Genomic DNA, 26,358 nt, shown 5'->3' on the forward strand with positions numbered 1-26,358 from the left:
AGATAGTTCTTGAAAGTTATGAGAAAGAGGACATGATGAGGGAGTATTGCTTACTGGGATAAACCATACACTAGGGACTCAAGCATTAAGAAAAAAATAAAAACAATTGAGAACTACTCTCTTATAAATGTAAAGGCCCAGAGAATTCATCCACAGAAATGGTGCCGTTGAAACTGGCTAAGCAGACCAAACTGTAGAAGAGGCTATGAGGTTATGGTCAGAAAACAGACACTTATTTATTTGTTTTTTTCTCCATGACAGAAGTTAGTGGTAAGTCTTATTTTTATACCCTAATGTATTTTAATAATGCCAGGTGTGATAACCTGCTGATTTATTCAATTCATAGTCCTAGAGGAATTTTATAGTGACAAAGGGCTGGGAATCATATCCCTTTAATAGCTTAGCAAATCCCTTTAAACAAGATGTACATTAATAATGAGGTGATGATAAGATCATTTCCTCAGGACCTCCAGAGCTGGTGTGTTGATTAAGGTGGTACAGGATAGCTAAGAGGACTGCAATTACAACTCTTGCCCAGCCATTAAAGCAGACCATAAAGTGCTGGGCTAGAACATGGCTTTGTCAGGGTTAGCATTTAACTCCTGGTAATAACAAATAGCTGTTCCGATATGGAGGAAGGCAGCCATATTTACATAACGAATCACAGTGTTTGGGTAAGGCGGATATAGCTGCTTAGAGAGAGGGTTGGGCTGGGGCCAAGGACAAATGGCTTCCTTACACATTAAAAGCATAAAATTTTGCTCTGAGGCATGAGGTTTGTTTTGCTCTAATTTTTGCATTTATAATTTAATATAGCATTGGTTTTCCAGGCCCCTTTAAAATTCCATTAATTGAACTTGATTGAACTGTTATAAAACTTAGACTGCCTTACAGATGCAAAGGAAAAACATGACAAAATTAGACTAGCAGGGGCAGAGAAGGGGGAAGATTGGAAAGAGTGGGGTGGGGGTGAGGGCTAATGGGGAGGAAATAATCTCTGCCTACTCTTGGAGGTTACAGTAATCTTTACTGCATTTCAGGGAGAAAAGGGAAAAAGGGGAACAAAAGAAGAGAGAGGGATCTAATATTCACTAAATGGGTTTTTTTTGTTGTTGTTTGTTTGTTTTTTGAGGGAGTCTTACTCTGTCGCCCAGGCTGGAGTGCAATGGCACCATCTCAGCTCACTGCAACCTCTGTTTCCTGGGTTCAATTGATTCTCCTGCCTTAGCCTCCTGAGTAGCTGGGATTACAAGCATGTGCCACCATACCTGGCTAATTTTTGTATTTTTAGTAGAGACAGGGTTTCGCCATGTTGGCCAGGCTGGTCGCGAACCCCTGACCTCAGGTGATCCGCCTGCCTTGGCCTCCCAAAGTGCTGGGATTACAAGCGTGAGTGACTGCACCCAGCCCACTGAATGGTTTTTATGACCCAGATCTAGCATATGTTCATTCATCTAATTCTTTAAGGTGTGTATTATTGTTCCATTTACAAACAAATGAATGGGGGCTCAGATTATTTTCATAACTTGTTCAAGGTAGTGGCAGGGTCAAAATCTGAAAAAAGTCTTCCCTGTTTTTCCCCACCCTTCCTCCTTTCCTTCTTTCTGCCTTTTTTTCTTCTTATTTTCTTTTTCTGATGTTTTGGGGGCCCTTTATGAATGACATAGGAATGAGCTTGAATTTCCATGTACGTTATCTGTGACAGATACTGACTTGCTGCATGCGTGCCACTTGTTCAGCTGTATCTTGCTGCACTTGCTATCACCAGGGCAAGCAGCATGCTATGCTGGTGGCTGCAGAGTACTCTGGAGGTGCCCAGGCATCTTTCATGGTCCCAAGTGATTTTCACACATAAGGCTGCTTTCATGTCATTCCGTACAAGGGCAATATGTGCTCCTATATCTGACAATGACCAGGCTGGGTATTAGGACCCATATCTCAGATTGGAAGTTGTGGCTAAACTCTGAGCTTAAGAAGAAGAAGGCAGAAGTGCCAGGCAGAAACAGCTCAGAATTCAGAAGGAGGATGAGACCAAAGTCCAGTTTCACAATGAGTCCTGTATAGGAGTGAGGGCTGGAGAGGGAGAGCTGCACCTGTGCCTCACCCCTGACCTATTACATCCCAGTCCTGGTAGTAGCAAAAGGATTGGAGGTTGGTCATCTAACACAGGGACCTAGGGATGAGGGTGGTCTAGCTGATCTCAGCAAGTGGGGAGGTATTGGAGAATATTAAGACGTGGGGGTTGGGGAAGGATTAGTCAGAATTCTTATTAAAAATGAATTTTATTAACAAGGCAGATTGAATGGAGAGTAAGGAATTAGGAGGTCCATGTTCACTAGCACCTAGGAGAAAGGCCAAGAGTTTTTTGTGTCCCTGAAAGAAGATATCCAGGCTAACCAGGGGTGTGTGTAGCAGTAAGGGGAGAAGAGATGGGTTGGTTCACCAGTTTGATGCCAGATGAGTCTTCTCCTTTCTGTTGCTGTATGGTTAGAGCATTATATTCAGGTTCAACAGAGAGGAGGGTGAGAAACTTTGACTCTCTGGCCTCTTCTCTCACCAGAGCTCTAACACTGGTACTCAACTGGGGGAGATTTTGTCCTCCAGGTAGGGTTGCCAGATAAAATACAGGATGCACAGCTAAATTAGCATTTTAGGTAAACAACAAATAATTTTTACTATAAATGTGTGCCAGATATTGCATGGTACATACTTATACTGAAAAATTATTCATTGCTTATCTGAAGTTCAAAATCAACCAGGTGTCTTGTACTTTCGTTTGCTAAATCTGGGAATCCTATATCCAGGGGATGGGCAAGGTCTGGAGACATTTTTGATGATCATGACTGGGAGGGAGATACTGCTGGCATTTAGTGCATACAGGTCAAGAATGCAGCCCTAAATATCAGCAGTGGTGAGACTGAGAAACCCTGCTCTAAGACAACCTGGCAGGCCAGCGTCTTAGTGTGTAGCTCCAAGATCCAAACCCAACCAAAGTAAATTCACCTCTCTAGCATTCTGTGTGCCTGTGTTTAAGGGGAATTTTTAATTAGTGGCTAAGCACAGTGGGGAGAGAGAATTAGATACCCAAATTATGCTTCTTCCATGATATACTAATTGTGTGGTTTTGCATAAGGTACTTAACCTTTCTTTTCCAGAGTTTTCTCACATATCAAATGAATAAAATAATAACACTATCTTACCATTCTTGGGTGTTCCTAATATGGTTTGGCTCTGTGTCCCTATCCAAATCTCATCTCAAATTATAATCCCCATGTGTCAGGGGAGGGATCTGGTGAGAAGTGATTGGATCATGGTGGCGGTTTCCTCCATGCTGTTCTCGTGTTAGTGAGTAAGTTCTCATAGGATCTGATGGTTTAAAAGTGTGTGGCTTTCTTTGCTCTCACTCTGTCTCCTGCTTCCATGTAAGACGTGCCTTGCTTTCCCCTTTGCCTTCCTGAGGCCTCCCCAGCTATGTGAAACTGTAAGTCAATTAAACTTCTTTTCTTTATGAATTACCCAGTCTCAGGTAGTTCTATATAGCAGTGTGAAAATGGGCTAATACAGTGCCTGTGAAGATTAAATGGGTTATTATATAGAAAGTGTTTATTATATAGAACAGTGTCTGGAACACAGAAAACTCTCAATACACATAAGCTGTTGTTACTGTTACTATTGTTACTAATTTAGAAAAGAAAATAAAGAAATCTCTTACTACTTTAAGTATGCTTTGAATATATATAGTTCATAATTCCCTTCATTTTTATGAGCCACCATTTTAAGATTGACAAGTAAAATATAAAATGCTCCATTTAAATTTGAATTTCAGATAAACAATGAGAAATATTTTAGTATAAGTATGTCTCAACTAAGTATGCATGAGACATACTTATACTAAATCAATCAATCAATCATTGTTTACCTAAAATTCAGAAGTAACTGGGCATCTTGTATTTTTATTTGCTAAATGAAGCAACCCTACCCATTTTGGAGCAGAGGGGATTTGTGTGTGCCCTTGCCTTTGGTGAGCATGTCTCAGTGTGGTCATTTCTGGAGTGTGCTTGTAGGTGTGAGCTGAAGAAGCGTAAAGGGCTACTCTTTAAAGACAATGGAGCAGCATAAATTGCGAAGGTGACATTTGTAATGTTGCTAAATAGCTTCCTGAAACCAAACCCTGGCATTTTATATCACCAGTTAATAAAAAATATGTGGTACTCAAAATAATTAACAGGCACACAAAATATTCTAGAAAACTACCTTGTTCTCATATTGTAATGATATTCTTATAATCCAGTACAAAGATCAGCAAATGTTTTCTGTAGAGGGCCAGATAGTAAATATTTTAGACTTTGGGGGGCATGTTTGGTTTCTGTCATATATTCTTCTCCTTCTCCTCTTCTTTTTTTAAACCATCTCTTAAAAATGTGGGAATGTAAAGTAGTACAACCTCTATGGAAAATGCTATGGAGATTTCTCAAAGAGCAAAAAATGGATCTGCCATTCGATTCAGCAATCCCACCACTGGGTATCTACCCAAAGGAAAAGAAGTCATTATGTCAAAAAGACACCTGCATGTTTATTGCACCACAACTCACAACTGCAAAGATATGGAATCAACTTAAGTGCCTATCAATTGATGTATAGATAAAATAAATGTGACACACACACGCACACACACACACACGCACACACCATGGAATACTACTCAGCCATAAAAACAGCAAAATAATGTCTTTTGCAGCAACTTGTGTGGAACTGGAGGCCATTATCCTAAGTGAAGTAACTTAGGGATGAAAAACCAAATACCACATGTTCTCACTTATAAGTTGGAGCTAAGCTATCGGTGTGCAAAGGCATACAAAGTGGTATAATGGACACTGGAGACTCAGAAAGAGTGAGGGTTGTGGGGCTGACACATGAAAAATTACTTGTTGGATACAGTGTATACTATTCAGGTGATGGGTACACTAAAAGCCCAGCCTTCACTGTGCAGTTCATCCATGCAACTACAATCTGCTTATACCCCTAAAGCTATTGAAATTTTTAAAAATTAATTTTAAAAAGGTAAAAATTATTCTTACCTTGTGGGCTGGACAAAAACAAGACAGGGGCTGGATTTCGCTGGTGGACTGTGGTTTATGGACCCTCACCACGTGAGCATTGAGATGATGTAAGGGGCTCTGATGAGGAATATTTATTTGTAATTATCATGTTTCTATTTATGATAGAAGGAAAGTTAGCATCTGCTTATAATTAATTAGTACTTATTTAGCATTTATCATAAACAAGACACTATTCTATGTTTTGTACATATATTAATGTGCTTAAACCGAAACATGGACAGTGTAGGTAGCAAGCTCAAGGCCATAAAAGTTATATAAGGAAGTGGTGAAGCTCAGATTTGAACTCAGGCAGTCAGCTCCAGAGTCTACAACCTTAGTCATGATGCTACATTTTCTCTTATGAGTGTTGTAACTACTTTAAAAAGTGTATAATCATTAAACATTGAACACAGGTATCAAAATACCACATGCCCTCTCAAAATATGTGCAACTACTCTATTTCAATTAAAAAATTTAAAAAGTAAACTAGAAAAAAATGTATAATGCTTTTGCCCCCATCTCTTTTCATCTTTCAAGCAGCTCCATATCTCAGATTTCAACTATATATACTCAGATGACATGGTCAAATAAAAAATACTCTTGTTTTACTTTCCCTCAATTTGGAACTTAAAGAATTTTCAGGCTGATTGGGATAAATCAAATTAGGTAATGTCAATTGTGGGTAAAGATCACGTACAGGTTTTCTGGCATAAACAGACCATGCAAATATATGGATTTTGAGTACCAAGGACTGCAGTGGTCTAGGACTCCCCAGATAACAGAGAAATTTCTATAGCTCAGAGAGCCTAGAAATGAGATTTTCACTGGGTTTCCTATAGGCAGGAAGAGCTTAATGTTTAAAAGAAAAAGGAACAGCTCTGGCAACCTCTTGCTGACCATATAATATTGTTTGGGGGGTTCCCAGATGATGATGCTTATGACTATTCTCTTACTTTGGCATTTCTAGTGAACCTGGGAATATTGACCAGACTGCGTGGGGCAGTTTTCTTATTCTTCACTGACCACATCTTGATAGCAGTCTTGGAAAGAATATATCAAGCAGTTTAAAAAGCAAAAAAAAATAAATAAGAACATTCCTAGGAGAAATATGAAGATGATCAACCTTTCCTCTCTCAAGCTCCCCAGACCTTGGGGGCTCTTCTTTTGGTTTATTTTGTTCATATTTGCTGGAGATGTGTTTGAGTTTCACTGCATCTGTCACCTACTCCAAAACATTTGGGATCCTGATATGCCATTCCGGTAAGATTACAATTCAGTGCAGGACCTCATACCCTTATAGGATGTTTTCTCGCCTCTGGCATATCCTTAGCTGGGTGCTGGCTTTCCTTGACTGAGCCCAGCGTATATTGTATACAGGGATCAAAATATCATATGTACCTCCAAAATATATGCAACTATTATATATCTTTTTTTTTAAAAAAAGCAAACTAGAAAAAAATGTATAATATTCTTGCCTCCATCTCATTTCATCTTCCAGGGTCACATTGCAGACCCAGCATTTGTGGAGGGCAAAGAAGCAACATCTTAATCTCTTCCTCTTGCCAAATCCAGTTTATCTTTTTTCCTTGGCCAGACTCCTCTTTATTTTTTGGCTCTCCCCTATACTGTTTCCTCTGTGATACTGAGACCCCAGTAGTAGACTTCCTAGATAAATTATCAGCTTGCTATGACATGGTTTTGGACATGTTTATTGAAATAAAACATAAATGCAGAGAAGTATAGGTCATAGTAATTTTGAAACATGCTATACGTATCATGAAAGAGTGTCATTAGCCTATTCTTCAACAGATACTGTTTTAGTTTAACCTATTTTTATCCATCTCCCCTCCAAGATAATTCTTGTGAACTCAGAAATGTAATATTCTTGGAAATTTTTTGGCCCAATTTTTCTTCAAGTGATAGAATATGGTTTCAAAAACTATGTTTTGAGGGATGAAGTTATTGATTGATTCCACAGATCACTTGAGTAATTTAGCTGCATATTTGTCATTATAAAATAATGTCTCAATCTCTTGGAGGTGCTGGAAGCCCTTAATGTGTCTGTAAGGTGATTATTCTCTCTTGGGTGTGCCTCTGAGTAAAGCTTCCTCCATTTATCCTGTTTTTCTCCTAGTAGAAGAGTGCTCAACCTTCTGAATACTGTGAGAGAGGGTGTGCATGCATGTGTGCTGTGCGGGGTGATGGTGTTGGTGGGATGAGAGCATAATGTAACACCATGGCCCTTCATGTGCTTTCATTTGCCACTGAAAACAAATAAAGGAAACATTAGTATTCATAATTGTTCCACTTGATACAGCAAACTTTTATGGAATTGGGAAACTTGATTCAAATGATTGCAATATAATGCTGTTAAGAATTTTAGACAAGAAAATTAAAGCATATGATTCTGGAATGACATAAATATAGGAGTTTTTTTTTTAACTTATTAATCTATTTTTACTTCTTCTGGTGCAACTCGTCCTCTCGCCATCCACATCATATACCCGTTTTGGTTTCAGAAAAGTAGATCTACATGTATACAGCATAATACTTTTCTTTAAGGTCACAACATATCCTGAAAGAAAAGCTAAAGTTTAAATGAAATTACTTTTTTTTTCAATAGATTTGCTCCAAGATAGTGTGATCCAAATAGTGGATACTCAATAAATAAATGTCGATTTGATATGCAAGAAAAAGCTAAGGTATTTTTCAAATGCATATGCAGAGTGGACACTTGGCCCCTTAGCCTATACTGTTCATTCAGATAAGGTGTAAATATGGGGTTAGGACAGCAGGAAGTGATTAATTTTCTTAGATATTTAACATGGTCCTTTGAAGGGGATCAGCTTTTGAATCTTTACGATTATATTTATTGCAATGGTGCTTCCCTTCTATGTTTAGACATGAAAGTGAATGTCACTGTTGAACAGTAAACACAGGAGAATGACTATGTGACAGAAGTATGTAAAGTATTTTGTAATTCGGTAGAGAATCAAAGTCAGCTTCAGTTCTTTGCATTCTCAGGGATTCAGAAAGGATTAGATAACAATAGTTGGAACCTATGCCAGAGAGTAACTGAAGGATAGCATTCCTTGAACCTCAGAAACCTGGGTGAAAGGAATTGGGCAATTAAGGTTTTTAGGAAGTCTAATGGGGTCATTTGTGAATGCCATCTTCATGGAACTTGGCAAACTGTCATCTCAGAGATCAAGGGAGGTCACTGATGTGAGGGTTGGAGGAATGAAAGTGGAGTGACTGTTTCCTGCCAAGTATGTTTAAAGGCTCTTGTCTGAAGGTAGCTACAGGTTTTTTTTTGTTTAATTTGGTTTTGTTTTCAACAATATCAGGGAGCTAAAGATACATGTCTTTGTAAAGTGAGCTCTCCTGGTTTTCCACCAAAGTTATATTATATCCAAAGAGCCTATATTTGTTTTCCCCTTTATCCAATGACTAAACATTTATTAAATATAAATGATGTGTCATGCTGAAGATAAAAGTACAATGTAAAAATTTTTTTTTTACATTAGCTTAAACTTTCAAATACATTCAGGCTAGTACTGATTCATTAAAAATATGTATGGGGGGATTTCCTGTTACTCTGGGTAGGCATGGAGGAATTTGATTTTTTTTTTTTTTGGAGACGGAGTCTTGCTCTGTTGTCCCGGTTGAAGTGCGCTGGCACAATCTTGGCTCACTGCATCTTTGCCTCCTGGGTTCAAGCAATTCTCCTGACTCAGTCTCCCAAGTAGCTGGGATTACAGGCGCCCACCATCACACCCTGCTAATTTTTGTATTTTAGTAGAGATGGGGTTTCACCATGTTGGCCAGGCTGGTCTCGAACTTCTGACCTCAAGTGATCCACCTGCCTTGGCCTCCCAAAGTGTTGGGATTACAGGCGTGAGCACCATGCCTGGCCCAAGGAATTTGAAAGTGGGAAAAAGTACAATTACCTATTTATTTCAAGAGTGTTGTATATTTTAGGTGGGGCTATGGCAGTAAGTCTAAACAATGATGAGGAATCTGAAAACAAAGTCATCTGAAGAGAAAGGGAAGGAATTAAATGGAAGGAAAGAATATTAAGCAGATGCATGAGAGCTGTTTTCAAACATCTGATGGACTGCCTAGTAGAAGAAAGAATTAACTTTTTCTTTTCATGCACAACAAATGGATATGCGTTACAGGAAGGTAATTAACTTTATATAGGAAATAGTTTTGAGTTGACCTGGGAAGGGTCTTCATGCTTTTACAAGTACACAAGGATGAGGTGGACAGCTTGTAACCATTGAAGGCTTATGATAAAATAGCAATGTGTTAATAGTTTTTAGCGTGCATTTTGCCAAGTTATACAAAGGTTTGGAGCACAGGAGAACTTGTCATAAGGGATGTTGCCTGGCAGCTACTGTAACCCATGTGTGATGTGATAGATGCTCTCCTAGGATGGTGGAGGTGGGAATGAAGAGGAAGCTTGTATTTGAAAGACATTTTCATGAAACATAAACAAGACTGTGAAAGGCAGATGAACAGAATGAATGAGAAGGAGGAATCTAACATAACCCCAGGACCATCATCTGGGTGGTGGGGAGATTGTTGGTATCACTGACAGAGTCAGGAAAGCCATGTGAAGGAGTCACATTATGGGTATTTTTGAAGAAGAGAAGGAAGAGAAAGGGAGCAAGGGGAGATGCAGACATGCATAAGTTTTCTCATAGGTGTCAACTTGATTTTGGCCATTACCCAAGTGGACAGACATGGTAGTCAGTCTGAGATTTGGAATTGGCTCAGGTGCAGATTCAGATGTGGAAGAAAGCTCCTGGGGGAAGCTCCCGCAAAGGATAGGGAAACGGAGGTGAGGAGGGAGCTTGTGTAAACCCCGTTATAACGGGCATTTAGGGTCTTTTGATAGTTTGCAGAAGTTTCTGAATCTGTGTAGGAGGGGGTTCGTGGCATGGGAGGGTAGAGGGCTACAGGGGTTCTTATTTCTAAATTAGCCTACACTTTCCGACAGGTTCCTCTTTCATTTCAGACAGAGACTAAAATAATAGCAACTCTTAAAACCTCAGTTTGCTCATCACAATATTCCAATGAGCTATTTTACTTTGGCTTGGGCGTAGCTGAAGAATCATGACTGTTGTGAATACTTTTACAGAAACTCTTGCTTTTCACTCTTAACAACTCATAAAGAGAAAGCCAAACTTTTTTTTTTTTAAATACATCTAGCAACAAATGCCTCTTGCTGGATCATCTGCTTCATAAGGTTATCACCCACCCTGTACATTAACCTCATGATTTCTTAAGAATACAGGAGTGACAGTTCAACAAAGGGTAGGCTTTTTATTTTGTTGTTTCTATCTATAGAAATTTGAGTACATTATTTTCCAAGTGACCCACAAAAGGATGTCAATGGAACTACATTAAGACAAGTATGGGGGGACTATAGTATATAGATACCCATTTAATTCCAGTTACTGTAACACCTGACTAAAGCTCTTTTGAAAGAACTTTGAAGATAGAAACAGACTTATCTGTACAATACCAACTGCTCCTTTATTAGTATTATTTCAAGTATGTTCACACTGATTCCTTGCATTTTAATGAAGTTACTCTTTTAGGACTGGAAGAGAACTGTTGACTAAGTGTTGAACAGTTGAAAGCCATTGTTCGTAATAGAGTTTTACCTTTGGGACTGAAAAGCTCTGTTTTTATAATTCTGAATAATCATCAGGTGATTAGTGAAGCTAAACACAACTGATTTACTCCTCAGCTTGGCAGATATAGGCCATGCTGATTGGGTGATGATAAATTTAGAGCAACAGGTACCTCCCTGTCAATTTAGTATTAATGCTACTTTCAAAAAGCTCCTGTTTTATTCGTAGAAAATACAAACATTGAATTCTGTGGTGGCGAGGTTTCTCAAAAGTTTACTTTGGCTACTCAAAATATTTATGAATGTGTATAGCCAGCTTTAAACTGTTTTGAAATATAATTCTTATAAGTTATTATAAACAGAAATCTTTGTTTGAGGCATCATGCACTTTCAGATTATCATAAACCAAACTGGAGCTGTTTAAAATAAGCATATTATGTTTGCAGCCAGGTATTTTTTTTTTTTCATCAAAAAACCCATTCCTAATTCTTCAGAAGAAGAGAAGTAACAATTATAAACCTCCGGGGCCCTGGTGGTTGAACTATAAAGATAGAGAATGATGGTCTTTTTTTTTTTTTCCCTTGTTAGTGTTAAAAATATCTGCAAATGGACTTGTTAGTGGTCAAGTAAAAACCATTTGGATGGTAACTTTCATCTATATAACAGGAAATTTCATGGTTCACATCTGTTACCACATATAAGTCTGAATCCAGAGGTGGCCTCAAGTGGTATTTTTGATCTAAGTGCGAACCCAGCTGCAATGTGCTCTAATATTAGCAAAGGGGACCTGCTTTCCTAAAGGGAGGATGATTTAAGGCTCTATTTCTGTTGTTCAGCAAATGCTGTTAGAAGCAGCAGAAGGTTACCCTTTTCCCATCACCTTAATTCCAGAGATACTCACAGACCTGACATTAGGCTGTTGGCTACTCGTCATAAGACTTCTCTGTCAAAGTGAATTCAGCTGATGAGCCATGAACACGCTTACAGTCAGATAATAGATGAAAGACTCTCAAGATAAACGAGGTGCTTATAAATACTGGCCAAAGTTGTTTAAAAGAGGATGGCAAAGGCCGTTAATTCTCGTCAGGCAGTTTCAAAAGACAGGGGATACTTGACTTCTTACTGAAGAGCACATTATCTTACCTCTGTGCGAGGGTGGGGCTCGGATGCATGTTGAAAGGGCGAGAGGCCTTTTAAAACTGATGCTAAACCCCATGTTCTCCCGAAGGGAGGAAGGAGAATTTTTTTTTTTCCAAATGTGATAAAGGACTTTGTACCCACCCTTACAGGCTAACATTTTGACCAGGTTATATCACACAAAATACTCTTGTTTTTCCATGCTTGGTTCTTTCTCTCCCACCCTGAAAGCTCAAATGATATCTGTAGAAGATAAACATTGATAATCTTTTCTTTTCAGGAGCTGATCACATCTAAACTCAAATTGAATACTCTTCTTGGTGATCTCTTATTTCTATCTTCACACTGTAGAATGTGGATTTCAAAATGTAGGTAAAAGCACAGGTTGTCCACAGTTTTTTTTTTCCATTGAAATAGCCAGTATGCCTCAATTTACAAGTAAGTTGCATTTGGGGTTGGTATCTGTTAGTATGATTTATTAATAACACAAAAATTTAAAAAATATTTAAACTTAAAAAAATTGCCAATTGGATTGGGATATCTCCTTTCTCACAAACATAAAAGTTTACCTTTGCTTAGAGTTTGCCAAAAGAAAGAATTTTCATAGCTTTTCTTTTTCCTTTTGATGGGCAATAAATTTAAAGCTCAGAAGAATGCAGTCAAAACCAAATCTGAAAGATAAAAAGGAAGTGTGTTAAAATACAATTCTCCGAAAAGGAGATCAGAAACCCAGATATTGGGATTCTAGATAATTCAAAATGCCTCACACAAGTGAGAATCCTCCTGCAGACTCGTCTGCTGCAGCCGATTTCACTGTTGCTTAGCCATTCATTCAGCAAACATTTCCTGAGTGCTTATCTGCATGTAGGTGTTGTGCTGCAAGCCGGAGTTACAAAGAAGACGTGGGCACCACTCTCAAAGAGTTTGCCTTCTAGAGATGGGGGTAGTTGGCTACCAGTGCTCGGCAGTGTGGACTAGACACACTGGGAAAATGAACAAAGTCCATCAGCTCAGGCTGGGGGAAATCAGGGAAGGCATCCTGCATGAAACACACCTGCCCTTCTGGAGTCTAGGAGAAAAAGCACAAGAACAAGTTAGCTGTGGAGTTCAGAGAGAGGGAGGCGAGGGGTAGCAGGGGATGGAGGACAAGGCCAGCCTCGCCTGCCCATCTGAGCTTTGTAGTCAGACCATGACCCAATTGCCTGAAACTCTCAAGTGGCTTCTCACATCACTCAAGGAGCAAAAACCTAAAAGGCCCTACACAGTTGGCTCCCTGCCACCTCTCTGATCTCTAACTCCACTCCAGCTCCTATCTGCACTTTGTCATTCATTTCTCAAACCCTCCAGGGCTTAAGCACTCCTTGTTCCTTTACGACATTCCTCATCTACAGGTCTGTTTGGCTCACTCACTTACCTTCTTCCACTTTGCTCAAATGCTACCTTCACAGTTAGGCTTTCTCTGAACACCTTACTGAAAATGGCAATCCCCTTCCTTCACCATCCTGTCCCCAACTTTTTCCCTATCCCCTTTCTCTGCCCCAATTTTCCCCAGTAGCTCTTATTGCCATTAGACTTTCTATGTATTTGACTTATTTGTTTATTAAATGTAAGCTCTCTGAAGGGAGAGATTTTAGTCTGTTTTGTTCCTTGAGATAGTCCCATTGCCTGGAACAGTTTCTGATTATGTAATAGGCACTTGATAAATATTTTTAAATACATTCTAATATACTTATACTTCTGGTAAAGTTGGATAATTGGCACATGTGACTTAAGAACAATCAAGGACCATTCCAGGATGAGTTTGACTATATATGATTTAGGTTTTAGTTGCTTATGGAACCTAATTCCTATGTAAGATGCAACTCCCTGTAATTCTGAAGACAACATGGAGGCTCTGAAGGATTTTAAACAAGAGTTTGACAGGATCAGATTGATATATTTGGAAAGATCACTCTGTCTGCACTGGAAGCACACACTGGAAGGGGATTGTATTAAAGGCAGGGCAATTGTAGAATGTTGCCAGAATCTCCCAAGAGATGATGATGCCCTCCGCTAAGGAAATGGTGATGGGGATGGAAAGGAGTAGATGATTTGAGAGATATAAAGAAATAAGATTTATAAAACTTGTTGTTGAAACTGTGGATTTTAGCTAGCTGTTCTGTAAAGACTTTCTAAGTTACACAGCTTATCCACATATCGCCAAGCTAGAAAAGGGGTCCTGAAACATCGTTTGCAAAATTGTGCTTATCTATAGTTTATGGCTGTGTAAACACAGATGTTGGTTAAGACTAAAACTAAGTAACTGGGGATGGAGAGTGAAGGCAGGAAAACAGAGTTAAATTAATGCTGTGATTATAAACAGAACATAATGTTAGTGAAAATAAAGATGCTCCACTTAAGCCTATAGTAAACCATCAATTCAAAATAAGGTGTGCTTGCAAAATCATTTTTGGTTTCTTTTTTGGAATATGGGATATATTTCCTAAAGATAAGAAATTCTAAGATTTCTAAGATGTGGTTAGGTTTATACCAATCTATTTGAGTAAAAAATGTAGATAGAAGGCATATTCATTAACATAAACAAATACAAGGAAGATTACTGTTGTAAAGACATTAAATAATATAGAAAATATGTAATGCCAACAAGATATTTAATAATATTAACTTTTATTGTAGGTCCTTGAATACTAGCAAATTTAATTACATGGAAATAAGGACATGAATGAAAACTTGGAGATTATAAAGTGAATTTCTGGGTTCTTTTAAAAGATATAGGACTGGATCCTTAGCATATACAATGTAGAAGAAGATTAGGAGTTTTGGTTATGCAATGTATGTCAACTGAGTGGCATGGCTGCCAATATAGTTAATGTCTTAGACTGTATTAGTAGATATATTATGCCCACTCTGGGGAAAGTGGTAATCCTACTCTATTTTGCTCTGATCAATCTGTATGTGGATACATGGAGTATTGTAGTTAGTATTGGACATGACACTTAGAAGAGGACAAAGACAAGCTAAAGGTTGTTCAAAGTTGATAAATTAAGAATCTGAGATTACTGGATAACCAGAAAATGTTTAGGGTGGATGTGAAGGGAATAAAAGATATGAAGGTGTCTTGTGCAGGAAGAATTAAGGATCCTGTCCTATACCCCTGAGGTATGTTCCTTCTACACTCAGGGTTTTGAGGGTTTTACTGTGAAGAGATGCTGAATTTTATCAAATGTGTTTTCAGCATCAATTGAAATAATCATATGATTTTTTGTCCTTCATTCTGTTGATATGATGTATCACATTGATTGATTTATACATGTTGAACCATCCTTGCATCTCTGGGATTAATTCCACTCGGTCATGATGAATAATCTTTTTAGTGTTATTAAATACTGTTTGCTAGTGTTTTGTTGAGGATTTTTGCATCAGTGTTCATCAGAGATTTTGGCCTGTAGTTTTCTTTTTTTATTATGTCTTTTTTTTTTTTTTTTGTACCAGGGTAATACTGGCCTCATAGAATGAGTTTCTAAGTATTTCTACTTCCTCTATTTTTCAGAATAGTTTGAGTACGTATTGGTTCTTTTTTAAATGTTTGGTAAAATTCAGCAGTGATGCCATCAGGTCCTGGGCTTTTCTTTGCTGAGAGACTTTTTTATTATGGCTTCAAACTTATTACTTGTTATTGGTTTGTTCAGGTTTTGGATGTCTTCTTGGTTCAATCTTGGTAGGCTGTATGTGTCTAGGAATTTATCCATTTCCTCTAAATTTTTCCAATTTATTCCCATATAGTCGCTCATAGTAGCCACTAACAATCCTTTGAATTTCTGTGTTATTGAATGTAGTGTCTCCTTTTTTATTTTATTTACTTGGGTCTTCTGTCTTTCTTTCTTTCTTTTTTTTTTTTTGAGATGGAGTCTTGCTCTGTTGCCCAGGCTGGAGTGCAGTGGCACGATCTTGGCTCACTGCAAGCTCCGCCTCCCAGGTTCACACCATTCTCCTGCCTCAGCCTCCCAAGTAGCTGGGACTACAGGCACCCGCCACCACGCCTGGCTAATTTTTTTGTATTTTCAGTAGAGATGGGGTTTCACCATGTTAGCCAGGATGGTCTCGATCTCCTGACCTCGTGATCCACCCGCCTCAGACTCCCAAAGTGCTGGGATTACAGGTGTGAGCCACTGCGCCCGGCCTTCTGTCTTTATTTCTTAGTCAGCCTAGCTAAAGATTTGTTGATTTTGTTATCTTTGCAAAAAGCCAACTTTTTGTTTTATTGATATTTTGTATTGTTTTCTTCATTTTGATTTCATATATTTCTGCTCTGATCCTCATTATTTCTTTTCTTCTACTAATTTGGGGTTTGGTTTGTTCTTGCTTTTCTCATTCTTTAGGATGCATCATTAGGTTGTTTATTTGAAGTTTTTAAACTTTTTTGATGTAGGCACTTATAGCTATAAACTTCCCTCTTAGTACTGCTTTCACTATATCTCATAGATTTTGATGTTGTGTTTCCATTATCATTTGTTTCAAGGAAATTTTCAATTTCATTCTTAATTTTTTCATTGACCCACTGGTCATTCAGGAGCATATTATTTAATTTCCATGTGTTTGTATAGTTTCCAAAATTCCTGTTGTTATTGTTTTCTAGTTTTATCCCATTGTGGTCAGAGAAGATACTTGATATTATTTCAATTTTTTTGAATGTTTTAAGCCTCATTATGGGGCCTAACAAATGGTCTCTCCTTGAAAATGATCCATGTGCTAAAGTGCAGAATGTGTATTCTGCAGCTGTTGGATGAAATGTTCTGTAAATATCTATTAGATTCATTTCGGCTATAATGCAGATTAAGTCCAATTTTTATTTTAAATTTTCTGTCTGGATGATATGTGCAATGCTGAAAGTGGGGTGTTGAAGTCTCCATCTTTTATTGTGTTGGGGTCTATCTATCTCTTTAGCTCTAATAATATTTGCTTTGTGTATCTGGATGCTCCAGTGTTGGGTGCACATATATTTACAGTTGTTATATTCTCATGCTGAACCAATCCCTTTATCATTATATAATGACCTTCTTTGTCTCTCTTTATAGTTTTTGTCTTGAAATCTATTTTGTCTGACATAAGTATACCTACCCTGCTCTTTTTTGGCTACCCTTGTAAGGAATATCTTTTTTCATCCCTTTATTTTCAATCTGTGTGTGTCTTTATAGGTGGAGTGTGTTTCTTGTAGGCAACAGGTCATGGGGTCTAGTTTTTTTATTTATTCAGCAACTCTGTGTCTTTTGATTGGAGACTTTAGTCCATATACATTCAATGTTATTACCGATTAGTAAGGACTTACTCCTTTTGTTTTGTTATTTGTTTTCTGGTTGTTTTGTGGTCTTCTGTTCTTTCTTTCCTTCCTTCTAGTGAAAGTAATTTTTTCTGGTGGTATGTTTTAATTTCTAGCTTTTTGTGTATCTGTTGTATGCTTTTTTTGATTTTAGGTTGCTGTGAAGCTTGCAGATAACATCTTACAATCCATTATTTTAATCTGATGACATCTTAACACTGTTTGCATAAACAAACAAATTAATGAACAAGCAAAGAGAAAACTAATAAAAACTCTACATTTTAACTTCATCCCCCTGCTTTTAAACTTTTTGTTGTTTCTATTTATACCTTATTTTTTTGTCTGCATCTTGGAAAGTTGTTGTAGTTATTATTTTTCATTGGTTCATTGTTTAGTCTTTCTACTTAAGATTTGAGTAGTTTACATACCACAATAACAGTGTGATTATATTCTGTGTTCTTTTGTGTATGTTCTAATACCAGTGAGTTTTGTACCTTCAGATAATTTCTCATTAACATTGTTATCTTTCAGATTGAAGAACTCTCATTAGCATTTCTTGTAGGACAGATCTGGTGTTGATGAAATTCCTCAGCTTTTGCTTGTCTAGGAAAGTCTTCATTTCTCCTTCATGTTTGAAGGATATTTTCACCAGATATACTATTCTAGGTAATGTTTTGTTTTTTTTTCTCTCTCTCTCAGCACTTTAAATATGTCATGCCACTTTCTCCTGGCCTGTAAGGTCTTCACTGAAGAGTCTGCTGCCAGATGTACTGGAGCTCCATTGTATGTTACTTGTTTCTTTTCTCTTGCTGCTTTTAGTATCCTTTTTTTTTTCAATCCTTAACCTTTGAGAGTTTGCTTATTAAATATCTTGAGGTAGTCTTCTTTGGGTTAAATCTGCTTGGTGTGCCATATTTCTTTCTCTAGGTTTGGGAAGTTCTCTGTTATTATCCCTTTGAGTAAACTTTCTACCACTATCTCTTTCTCTACCTCCTCTTTAAGGCCAACAAGTCTTAAATTTGTCCTTTGGAGGCTATCTTCTATATCTTGCAGGTGGGTTTCATTCTTTTTCATTCTTTTTTCTTCTCTGACTGTGTATTTTCAAATAGCCTGTCTTTAATCTCACTAACTCTTTCTTTTGCTTAATCAATTCTGCTATTAAGAGACTCTGATGCATTCTTCAGTATGTCAATTGCATTTCTGAACTCCAGAATTTCTGCTTAAGTCTTTTTAATTATTTCAATCTCTTTGTTAAATTTATCTGACAAGATTTTGAATTCTTTCTATTTTATCTTGAATTTAATTGACTTTCTTCAACACAGTTATTTTGAATTCTCCGTCTGAAAGGTCACATATCTCTGTCTCTGGGATTGATGCCTGCTGCTTTATTTAGTTCATTTGATGAGGTCGTGTTTTCCTGGATTGCCTTGATGCTTGTGAATGTTTGTCAGTGTTTGGGCATTGAAGAATCAGGTAGTTATTGTAGTCTTCCCAGTCTGGGCTTGTTTGTACCTGCCATTCTTGAGAAGATTTTCTCCATATTTGAAGGAACTTGGGTGTTATGATCTAAGTTTTTAGTCACTGCAGCTGTATCTGCATTAGGGTATACCCCACAGTGATGCTGTGACTCCTTCAGACTCACAGATGTACCGCCTTGCTGGTCTTGGTGGTCTTGGATAAGATCCCGAAGAATTCTCTGGATTACCAGGCATAGACTCTTATTCTCATATCTTGGTTTCTCTCAAACAAATGGAGTCTCTCTGTGCTGAGCTGACCCAAGCTGGGAGAGGGATGACACTAGCACCCCTGTAGCCACCACCACTGGGACTGCACTAGGTGAGACCTAAAGCCAGCACAGCACTGGGTTTTGCCTTAGATCTGCTGTAACCACTACCCGGTTACCACCTGTGTGCACTGAAGTTCCTAATGCTAAGGTCCTAAGCAGGTGGCAAAGCAAACCAGGCTTGTGTCTTTCCCTTTAGTGCAGCAAGTTCCCCATGGCCCTGGGCAGGTTCAGAGATACCATCCAGGAGCAAGGCCTGGAGTGGGATACCATAGAAATCTACCTGATGTTCTATTCTACTGTGGCTAAGCTGGCACACAAGACACAAAACAAAGTCCTTTATACTCTTCCCTCCCTTTCTGTAAGCGGAGGAGTCTCTTCCCATGGCTACCACTGCCACAAGCCCAAGATGAGTATTGCCAGGCTATCGTTTATATTTGCTCAAGGCCCAAGGGTTCTTCAGTCAGCTTGTGGTGAATGCTGCCAGGCTTGGGACTCACCCTTCAGGGAGGGAACTGGGCTCCTCTCTGGCCCAGGGCAGGTCCAGAAATGCCATCCAGGAGCCATGGCCTGGAATCAGGGATCCCAGGAGCCCTCTGGGTGCTCTACTCCACTGTGGCTGAGCTGGTACCTAAGCTACAAGACAAAGTCCCCTTTACTCTTCCCTCTGCTTTTCTCAAGCAAAAGGAATATCTCCTCATAGCCACTACAGCTGAGAACTTTCTGGGTCTCACTTGAAGCCAGCACATCTCAGAGTGTTAACCAAGGCTTATGGTGAATACTACCTGGCTACCACTGCTGATTATTCAGGGCCCATGGGCTCTTTAGTCAGTAGGTGATGAGTTCTGCCAGTATTGAGTCCTTCCTTTCAAGTCAGTGGGTTCCCTTCTGGCCCTGGGTATGTCTAGAAATGTCATTTGGGAGCTAGGCCCTGGAGTGAGTGCCTCAGGACTCTGCCTGGTGTCCTATCCTACTAGCTGGTATCCAACTTGCAAGACAAAGTCCTCTTTATTCTTCCCTCTCCTCTTCTTACTTAGAAGAAAGAAGCTCCCCTGGAGCTGTGAGCTGAGCTGCTGGGGTTGACAGAAGAGTAATGCAAGCACTCCCTTGGCTGCCCCAGCTGGTGTCTCACTAGGTTGCATGCCCTCCATTCCACTGGCTCATAGCCCAGCACAGTATTAGAACTTGCCCAGGAATTGCAGCCTTTGTGTCCTAGATCACCTTTCAAGTTTATTTAGTACTCCAGAGCATTTTGGCCCATGAGAGCAGGGCTTGCCTAAGCTCAATTTTGACCGCTGGGGTAGGTAATTCCCTTCTGGCTAGGGCTGCCCTAAATGCTCCCTTCATGGTTGTTGGCTGAGTTCTGCCAGGTGAGGTGTTGCTTTTGGCTGTGACAATATGAGTTCCAATGCAAAGTCCCACAATCACTGTGCTCTCTCTCCCCCAAGTGTGAAGATTCTCCATGCCACACCATTGTTGCTGGGGGGTGGGGGAGGGATGGTATCAGCTCTTCAAGACTCTCTTTCCTAACTCTTCATTGTCTCTTTCAGTGATATGAAGTTAAAACCAGGTACTGTGATCGCTCACCTGATTTTTTTGTTCTTATGAAGTTGCTTTTTTGTGTGTAGATAGTTGTTAAATTTGGTGTTCCTGTAGGGAGGATGATCAGTGGAGGCTCCTATTTGGCCATCTTGCTCTGTCTCTTTCCTAAAATTTTTGACACCTGTGTTAGCATCAGACAACTTTCATAGTTGGGAAGTTTTCCTTTATGTCTAACTTTGTTGTTTATTTTCTCCCCATTAAAATATTTAAGAAATCTAATGGAACCATCCTTGAACACAATTTTCTTACAGCTTGGTCGTCAGTGTGGATTCAAGATTACTGATGATTTTCAATCAAATGGGGACAATACAGTTGAAAGGTCTTTGAAAAATATTAAGTGCTATATAAATATAACCTGTATTATTGTGATTCAGATTATATGACTAGTATTGCTATTTTTCTTCAAAATTTACTCTCTTATCCTATAGTCCTTTTTTATCTTTCTGTGTAGAATCTGTTTTTTTTCCCTTCTCAGAATTGATTAGAATATATCAGGATGAACAGTATTAGAACTCAAATCATTCATAAAACACTATGTGGCCCTCTCATCATCTGCTCTGGTCTTTTGGAGCTATTTCACATAATGTCAACCTAACAAACATAACTGGATTTCTTAGCAAGTGTGGATTACACCCTTAGGTATATTACATTATCGAAATACTCTTATGGCTCTTGTCTTCTAAGACAGTATGGAAATAAATGCATAACAAACAAAAAATATGGTAAAATTTAGCAAATGAAAAAAATGTAGTCCTTTGCTAAATCCGAGTTTGTTTTTCATTAGGGTAATTATGTGTGGGGTGAGGAGATGAGAGATGGCTTGGGAGAAGTTAAGGTGTAACTGAAATGAAAGATAAATTTCACTAAAGGAGATTAATACAGTTTAAATAGAGGAGGGAATAACCACTGGAGAGATGAGAGAGAATGCATGAATAGTGCCAGAATACAAACCATTATTGTCTCTAAGAGCAATCCTCCTTCCTAAGTTCCCTCATGACTTCTTATTTTTAAATCAGTTTATTATTCAGTTTTGAAATCAAAGATATAACATAAAGGAAGTTTTCAATGAAATGGGATAATGTATGAGTCTTCGATTAGAAATGAAATGGCCAACATGTCATGCTGATATTACAGTTGCACTTCTTTTCTGTATAATTTATAATTTTTAAGTTGTTTAATAAAAGATTCACTTTTTAAAATGCAGTAAGAGAAAACACCTGACCTTCATTATTAAGCACATATTGAACGTATTTTCCTGAAATTAATGCATCTGATGGATGACTTACTCCCCTACTCCATGGTAAAAGTTTATTTGCCCCACAACACATGATCATGCTTCAGGAGAAGGAAGCCACCTTGATTCCCAAGCCCTGAAAGAAATTGTTATTCTCTGAGGTTCTTAGAATCTGGGCTGATTCAGCAATCTCTGCTTCCAGAAAGGATGAGCAAGTAATCTACTGACCTCATTAAGTCAAATAATGCTTTTTCCTGGTTGATCTTTGGTGTTTTGAATTTGAAAACAAATTCTTGAAGTTCCAAACTGGGCCTAACTTCTGTACCACAGCCTTCTTTAATGTAATTCTTGGAAATGCCCATCTTATGTCTTGCCAGAGATTGAATTTTCTTGTGTGTGTTAGAAAAGTAAGCAAAAAACAGAGGCTCAGGGAATCCCAAGCATGGCAAATTCTTCTTTAGAGTCTCACTCTGTCACCCAGGCTAGAGTGCAGTGGTATGTTCTCGGCTCACTGCAACCTCCGCTTCCCAGGTTCAAGCCATGAAGAGATGTTTTTAATTGAGTAATGATTATCCTTTCATCTTACTGAGTCCTGTTTGTTTGAATCCTTCTCTGTCTGTATCAGTTTGAAGGTGATCATCTACTAATATGCTGTTGGAGAATCCTGAGGGATGCCGGGTTTATTTGCCAAGTTTATTATTATTATTATTATTATTATTATTATTGTTATTATTATTATTTAATCTTTATATGTTACTGAGTCTTAGGGGTGTGAAAAAATAAAAGATTCAGGGACAAAATATTTTGAGAAGAAAGAGTAGTTTACTTGTAAAGTTTTGCAAGGAAGACTAGATTTCAGAAGAACTGGCTCCTCAAAGGATCATGGCTATTTAAGGCATAAAACCTTCAAAATTATTATCAAGGTCAGAGTTTGTCTACTCACAGTGGAAAGAAAAAGAGCTATTTCCTCACTTGGTTGTCCTTTCTGCAATATATCCATTGCAAAAGCATCAGGGGAAAGCTGTTTTTTTAGGGAGACAGTAACTTATTGGAAAGGGCTCAAGGTTTCCTCTATTATGGGGACTAGAGGTAGACATAGTGGCCTTGTTTTTGTCTTGGTTTTTGTTTCTGCTTTTTTCTCTCTCTGACTATGAGACATGATGTGATGTGCACACTTACTCAAAATGACAAGTCTGCTCTCTCATTGAAAACTAATCCTTTGCATAGTAGGCAGCAAAGCCCAATTCCTTTGAATTACTTAGACTGATACCTGAGAGGAATCTGTCTCCTTACCCAATTCCCATAGCTCCTTCATTTGCCTTAGGAACAGTAGTTTACTGTGACCTGACTTACCACATTGTGGTAACCAACCACTCCTATCTACTGGCATAGGTTTTCTTTCCTCTTACTGTGATTCTTCAGATACACAACAGCATCCCTGCTGGCTAAGCTTATGCTAACCATGCTAGAGAACAGGCTCATTTGGCTCAGCCCTTGACTATACACTATCTAACAAGATAAAATTATTTTAAAATTGATTTGTGAGAGAAGTTTCTTTCTTCAGCAAAATAAGTAAATATCTTCTGTAGGTGAGTAAATACGACCATTCATTTCCTAGTAAGTGAAATTGATCAAATGAAAAGGTGAGGTGTTAATGGCTGTCTGGCATCAGATTGGTGACTGTTAGTGTTGCCACTGGTCAACCTGGAAAATAAGTGGTTAGAAAAAGGCTTATAGTCAGCCACTGAGAATTTGCCACCATTGTCTCAAACACAAAGAAGACATTATGGTAGTTTCATCACTGTTGGTGAATTGCTCCAGGAAGCCTGTAGTTTAAAAATTATAAAGGATGTAAATTCTAGTCCATGATTGAAGAAGTGCTGCTGATGTGATTAAACAGTGTGAACGTGTTGCTTGGTAAGAAAGATTTGGAAAATACTTATTTCTGTCTAATCAAATGAATAATTAACTTTTGAATGAAATGATTAAAAATGTCACCCTATGACACCGGGAAAGAGAATTGGAATAGCAGTTATTACTCCAAAGTTGCTTTTGCATTATCTCACTCAAGTTTTTTTTTAGTGAAGCTTTAAGGTGTGAAACCCAAGCATCTAAAATAGCTCACCTCTTGAGTGTTCTTAGCCATAAGTCTTGGTATGGAAAATACAATGAAGCCTTTGGCAGTTTACCCTGCAGTATGTGTAGGAGTTGCTTTTAAACATACAATTGATCATTTGTGCCTACAAAATTTCTTTCATATACACTTGCCTCTGTAAAAATGCATTTAACATTAATATATACATTCTAAGACTTTAATCTGGATTTTTGGTCTTAAGTCAAACTTGCAAAAGAAGAAAAGAAAGGCTGGAGGAGAGAGAAAAAGAGATAATTAGTTCTGGTTATGGGTGTGTTATGTTACTGCTACTGATTAATAAAAGGAATAGATCTCCTTTCTTTCACTTATAAATTCCAAACAGCAATAGAAAATAGAATTAATAGATTTCAGTCTCATAAAAATCAGGCACCATCTGTAGGATTTAGGAGGGACTTACCAGAGTGAAGCTGCCAATATTGAATGGTGAATGAGTACTGAATCGAAATTTGCAAATGGAAGATTTATGTATTGTAGGTGATGTAAAAACCGAAACTATGAAATTTTGAAGCTCTTCCAATGACTAGAATGGAGGGAAGCCAGAAAAGAAGGGTAATTAATGTTCCTAAGCGCAAGGTCTCATGAATAGAATCAGCCTTTGCTTTATGATTCAAAAATTCTGTGGTAATCAGCAACTGTCATCAATGAAATTAGACCTTATGTCTATCTTACCTAATCAACCTACCCATTAGTGTGCTCACTGAATGTTTATTAAGCATGTGTTATGTGCAGCACCACTGCTGAGTACTGAAATGTCAAATATGGCTAAGACATATTTGCTACTTACAAGAAATTCCTTGTGCAAGGTGATATGATGAGGATTTCTGGTTTTATATTTAGTTAGGAAAGTAGTTTACTCATTCCCATTGTTAAATGGATTTTCTAACTTTGACAAAAAACTGCAAAGCCTAACTTTGGGGTTGGTCTACTCCAGTGGGTAATGATGCATTTACTCAGTGGCCTCATAACTTTTGCACTTTTTGACTGCAATCCAGGACACAGAAGCTTGCTCCTGCTGAAAATGTGGCTTCGGAAAGCTTGGCATCCTGGAACTGGGCTGTATCTAGCTTTATATATGTAGTATAATTGCCATTCAAGTGTATGTTATTGTCAACAAAAATAAATCTGTGCTATCAACACCAAGACAGCAGGTACCAAAACACAGAAAGACTCCTTTTCAATGAGTATACCCTGGGAAAGGTGGGAGGCCACAGAACCAGTTGGGAACAGAAGGACAAGGCAAGCTAGTAGGGTATCAATGCCTGGTGTCATCAAGCGTGAGAGCTGGTCTAATGCAAAAGCTAAGCATTTATGTGCCACTCAGTATAACGCATACTGCTTCTTGGATGAGATCTAATTGAAAATGTTAACATCTGTTGCAAGCATGTGCTAGCAGGAAATAAGGCTTCCAACCATGGAATCTTAAAGAAGAGAGAGGCAAATGGTAAGTGTCCTGAGGCTTGACCCATGAACACGAATGCCTCATCCATAGGGTGCAGCCCTAGGGTTAAGGATGCCTCAGTCCAGCATGTCTCAATGATGGTGAACTGAGGGTGTTGTCTGGTGGCTGGCCTTTGTTATATGGTCACTAGCCCTCCATGTCTTGGAGCTCTAGGCAGAGGCTCTTTTCTTCATAATGCCATAATGCTAATGGTTCTGGGCCATCTGGCCATTAGATGAACATCCTCAGAGCTTGGCTACAGCTCCTACTTTTCACCTGAGTCACAGCCTTCTCCCACTTTTCAAGTCTACTTTCTAGTGCCAAGTTTTCCCCTAAGATTTTTTTTTCTCTCAGATTCTCTTTTGCCATGTTATCTGACTGTCCAAACACCTACCTGCCTGAAATCACTTTATACATCAGGTGGGACATTAATGACTTCTGTCATTCACACTGCTGCCAATTTACCACCAACTTTCCATGGGTGAAACATGGCTTCATTTCCCTTCCTTTCCCACTGACTTTGGCTGAAAGATGTGATGTGGTCACATTTCATGTTAATTGACTGGATGCTCCACAGGGGAGCATCTACTCCATGTGGGGAGTAGAGATGCCCAGGCAAGGTACCTCTTAAACATCTTTTTTTCTTTATATTTTAAAATTACAATGCAGAAATATATAAAAGTATATAGTATATAAAGCATATCAAATATGAAATGAAAATTCTCCCCTTTTGTAACATTTTTCATATTCCACAGAGGTATTCACAGCTGTTTGGCAGGCACACTTGAACCTCTTCACAGCCCTGCAGATGACATATGTGTACATACATCTATAACTGAGCAGGTTTCCTAATAAGTCCCCACCTGTTATCAATGAATTTTTTAAAAAAACGTTTATTTAACATTAGTCCATAAAAACAATGTTAAAGTTCTCAACTTTTTTTTTTTTT

At 38.4% G+C, this 26,358-nt stretch overlaps 1 long non-coding RNA gene across 6 annotated transcripts in view, besides 1 other annotated feature; it reads left to right on the forward strand.

The window, feature by feature from the left end:
* Window positions 1-26,358, forward strand: part of LOC105370504 (uncharacterized) — a 402,142-nt gene that overhangs the window by 129,774 nt on the left and 246,010 nt on the right. The window lies entirely within an intron of this gene.
* Window positions 7,522-8,721: an enhancer, noted in NCBI's record as "P300/CBP strongly-dependent group 1 enhancer chr14:53924665-53925864 (GRCh37/hg19 assembly coordinates)". NCBI's record gives its function as "activates an origin of replication core promoter dependent on BRD2, BRD4, P300/CBP, MED14 and CDK7 cofactors, with strong dependence on P300/CBP, by STARR-seq in HCT116 cells {active_cell/tissue: HCT116}" and the evidence as "EXISTENCE:reporter gene assay evidence [ECO:0000049][PMID:35650434]".

This window comes from Homo sapiens, chromosome 14, assembly GCF_000001405.40.
Source record: "Homo sapiens chromosome 14, GRCh38.p14 Primary Assembly".
Lineage (NCBI taxonomy): Eukaryota > Metazoa > Chordata > Mammalia > Primates > Hominidae > Homo > Homo sapiens.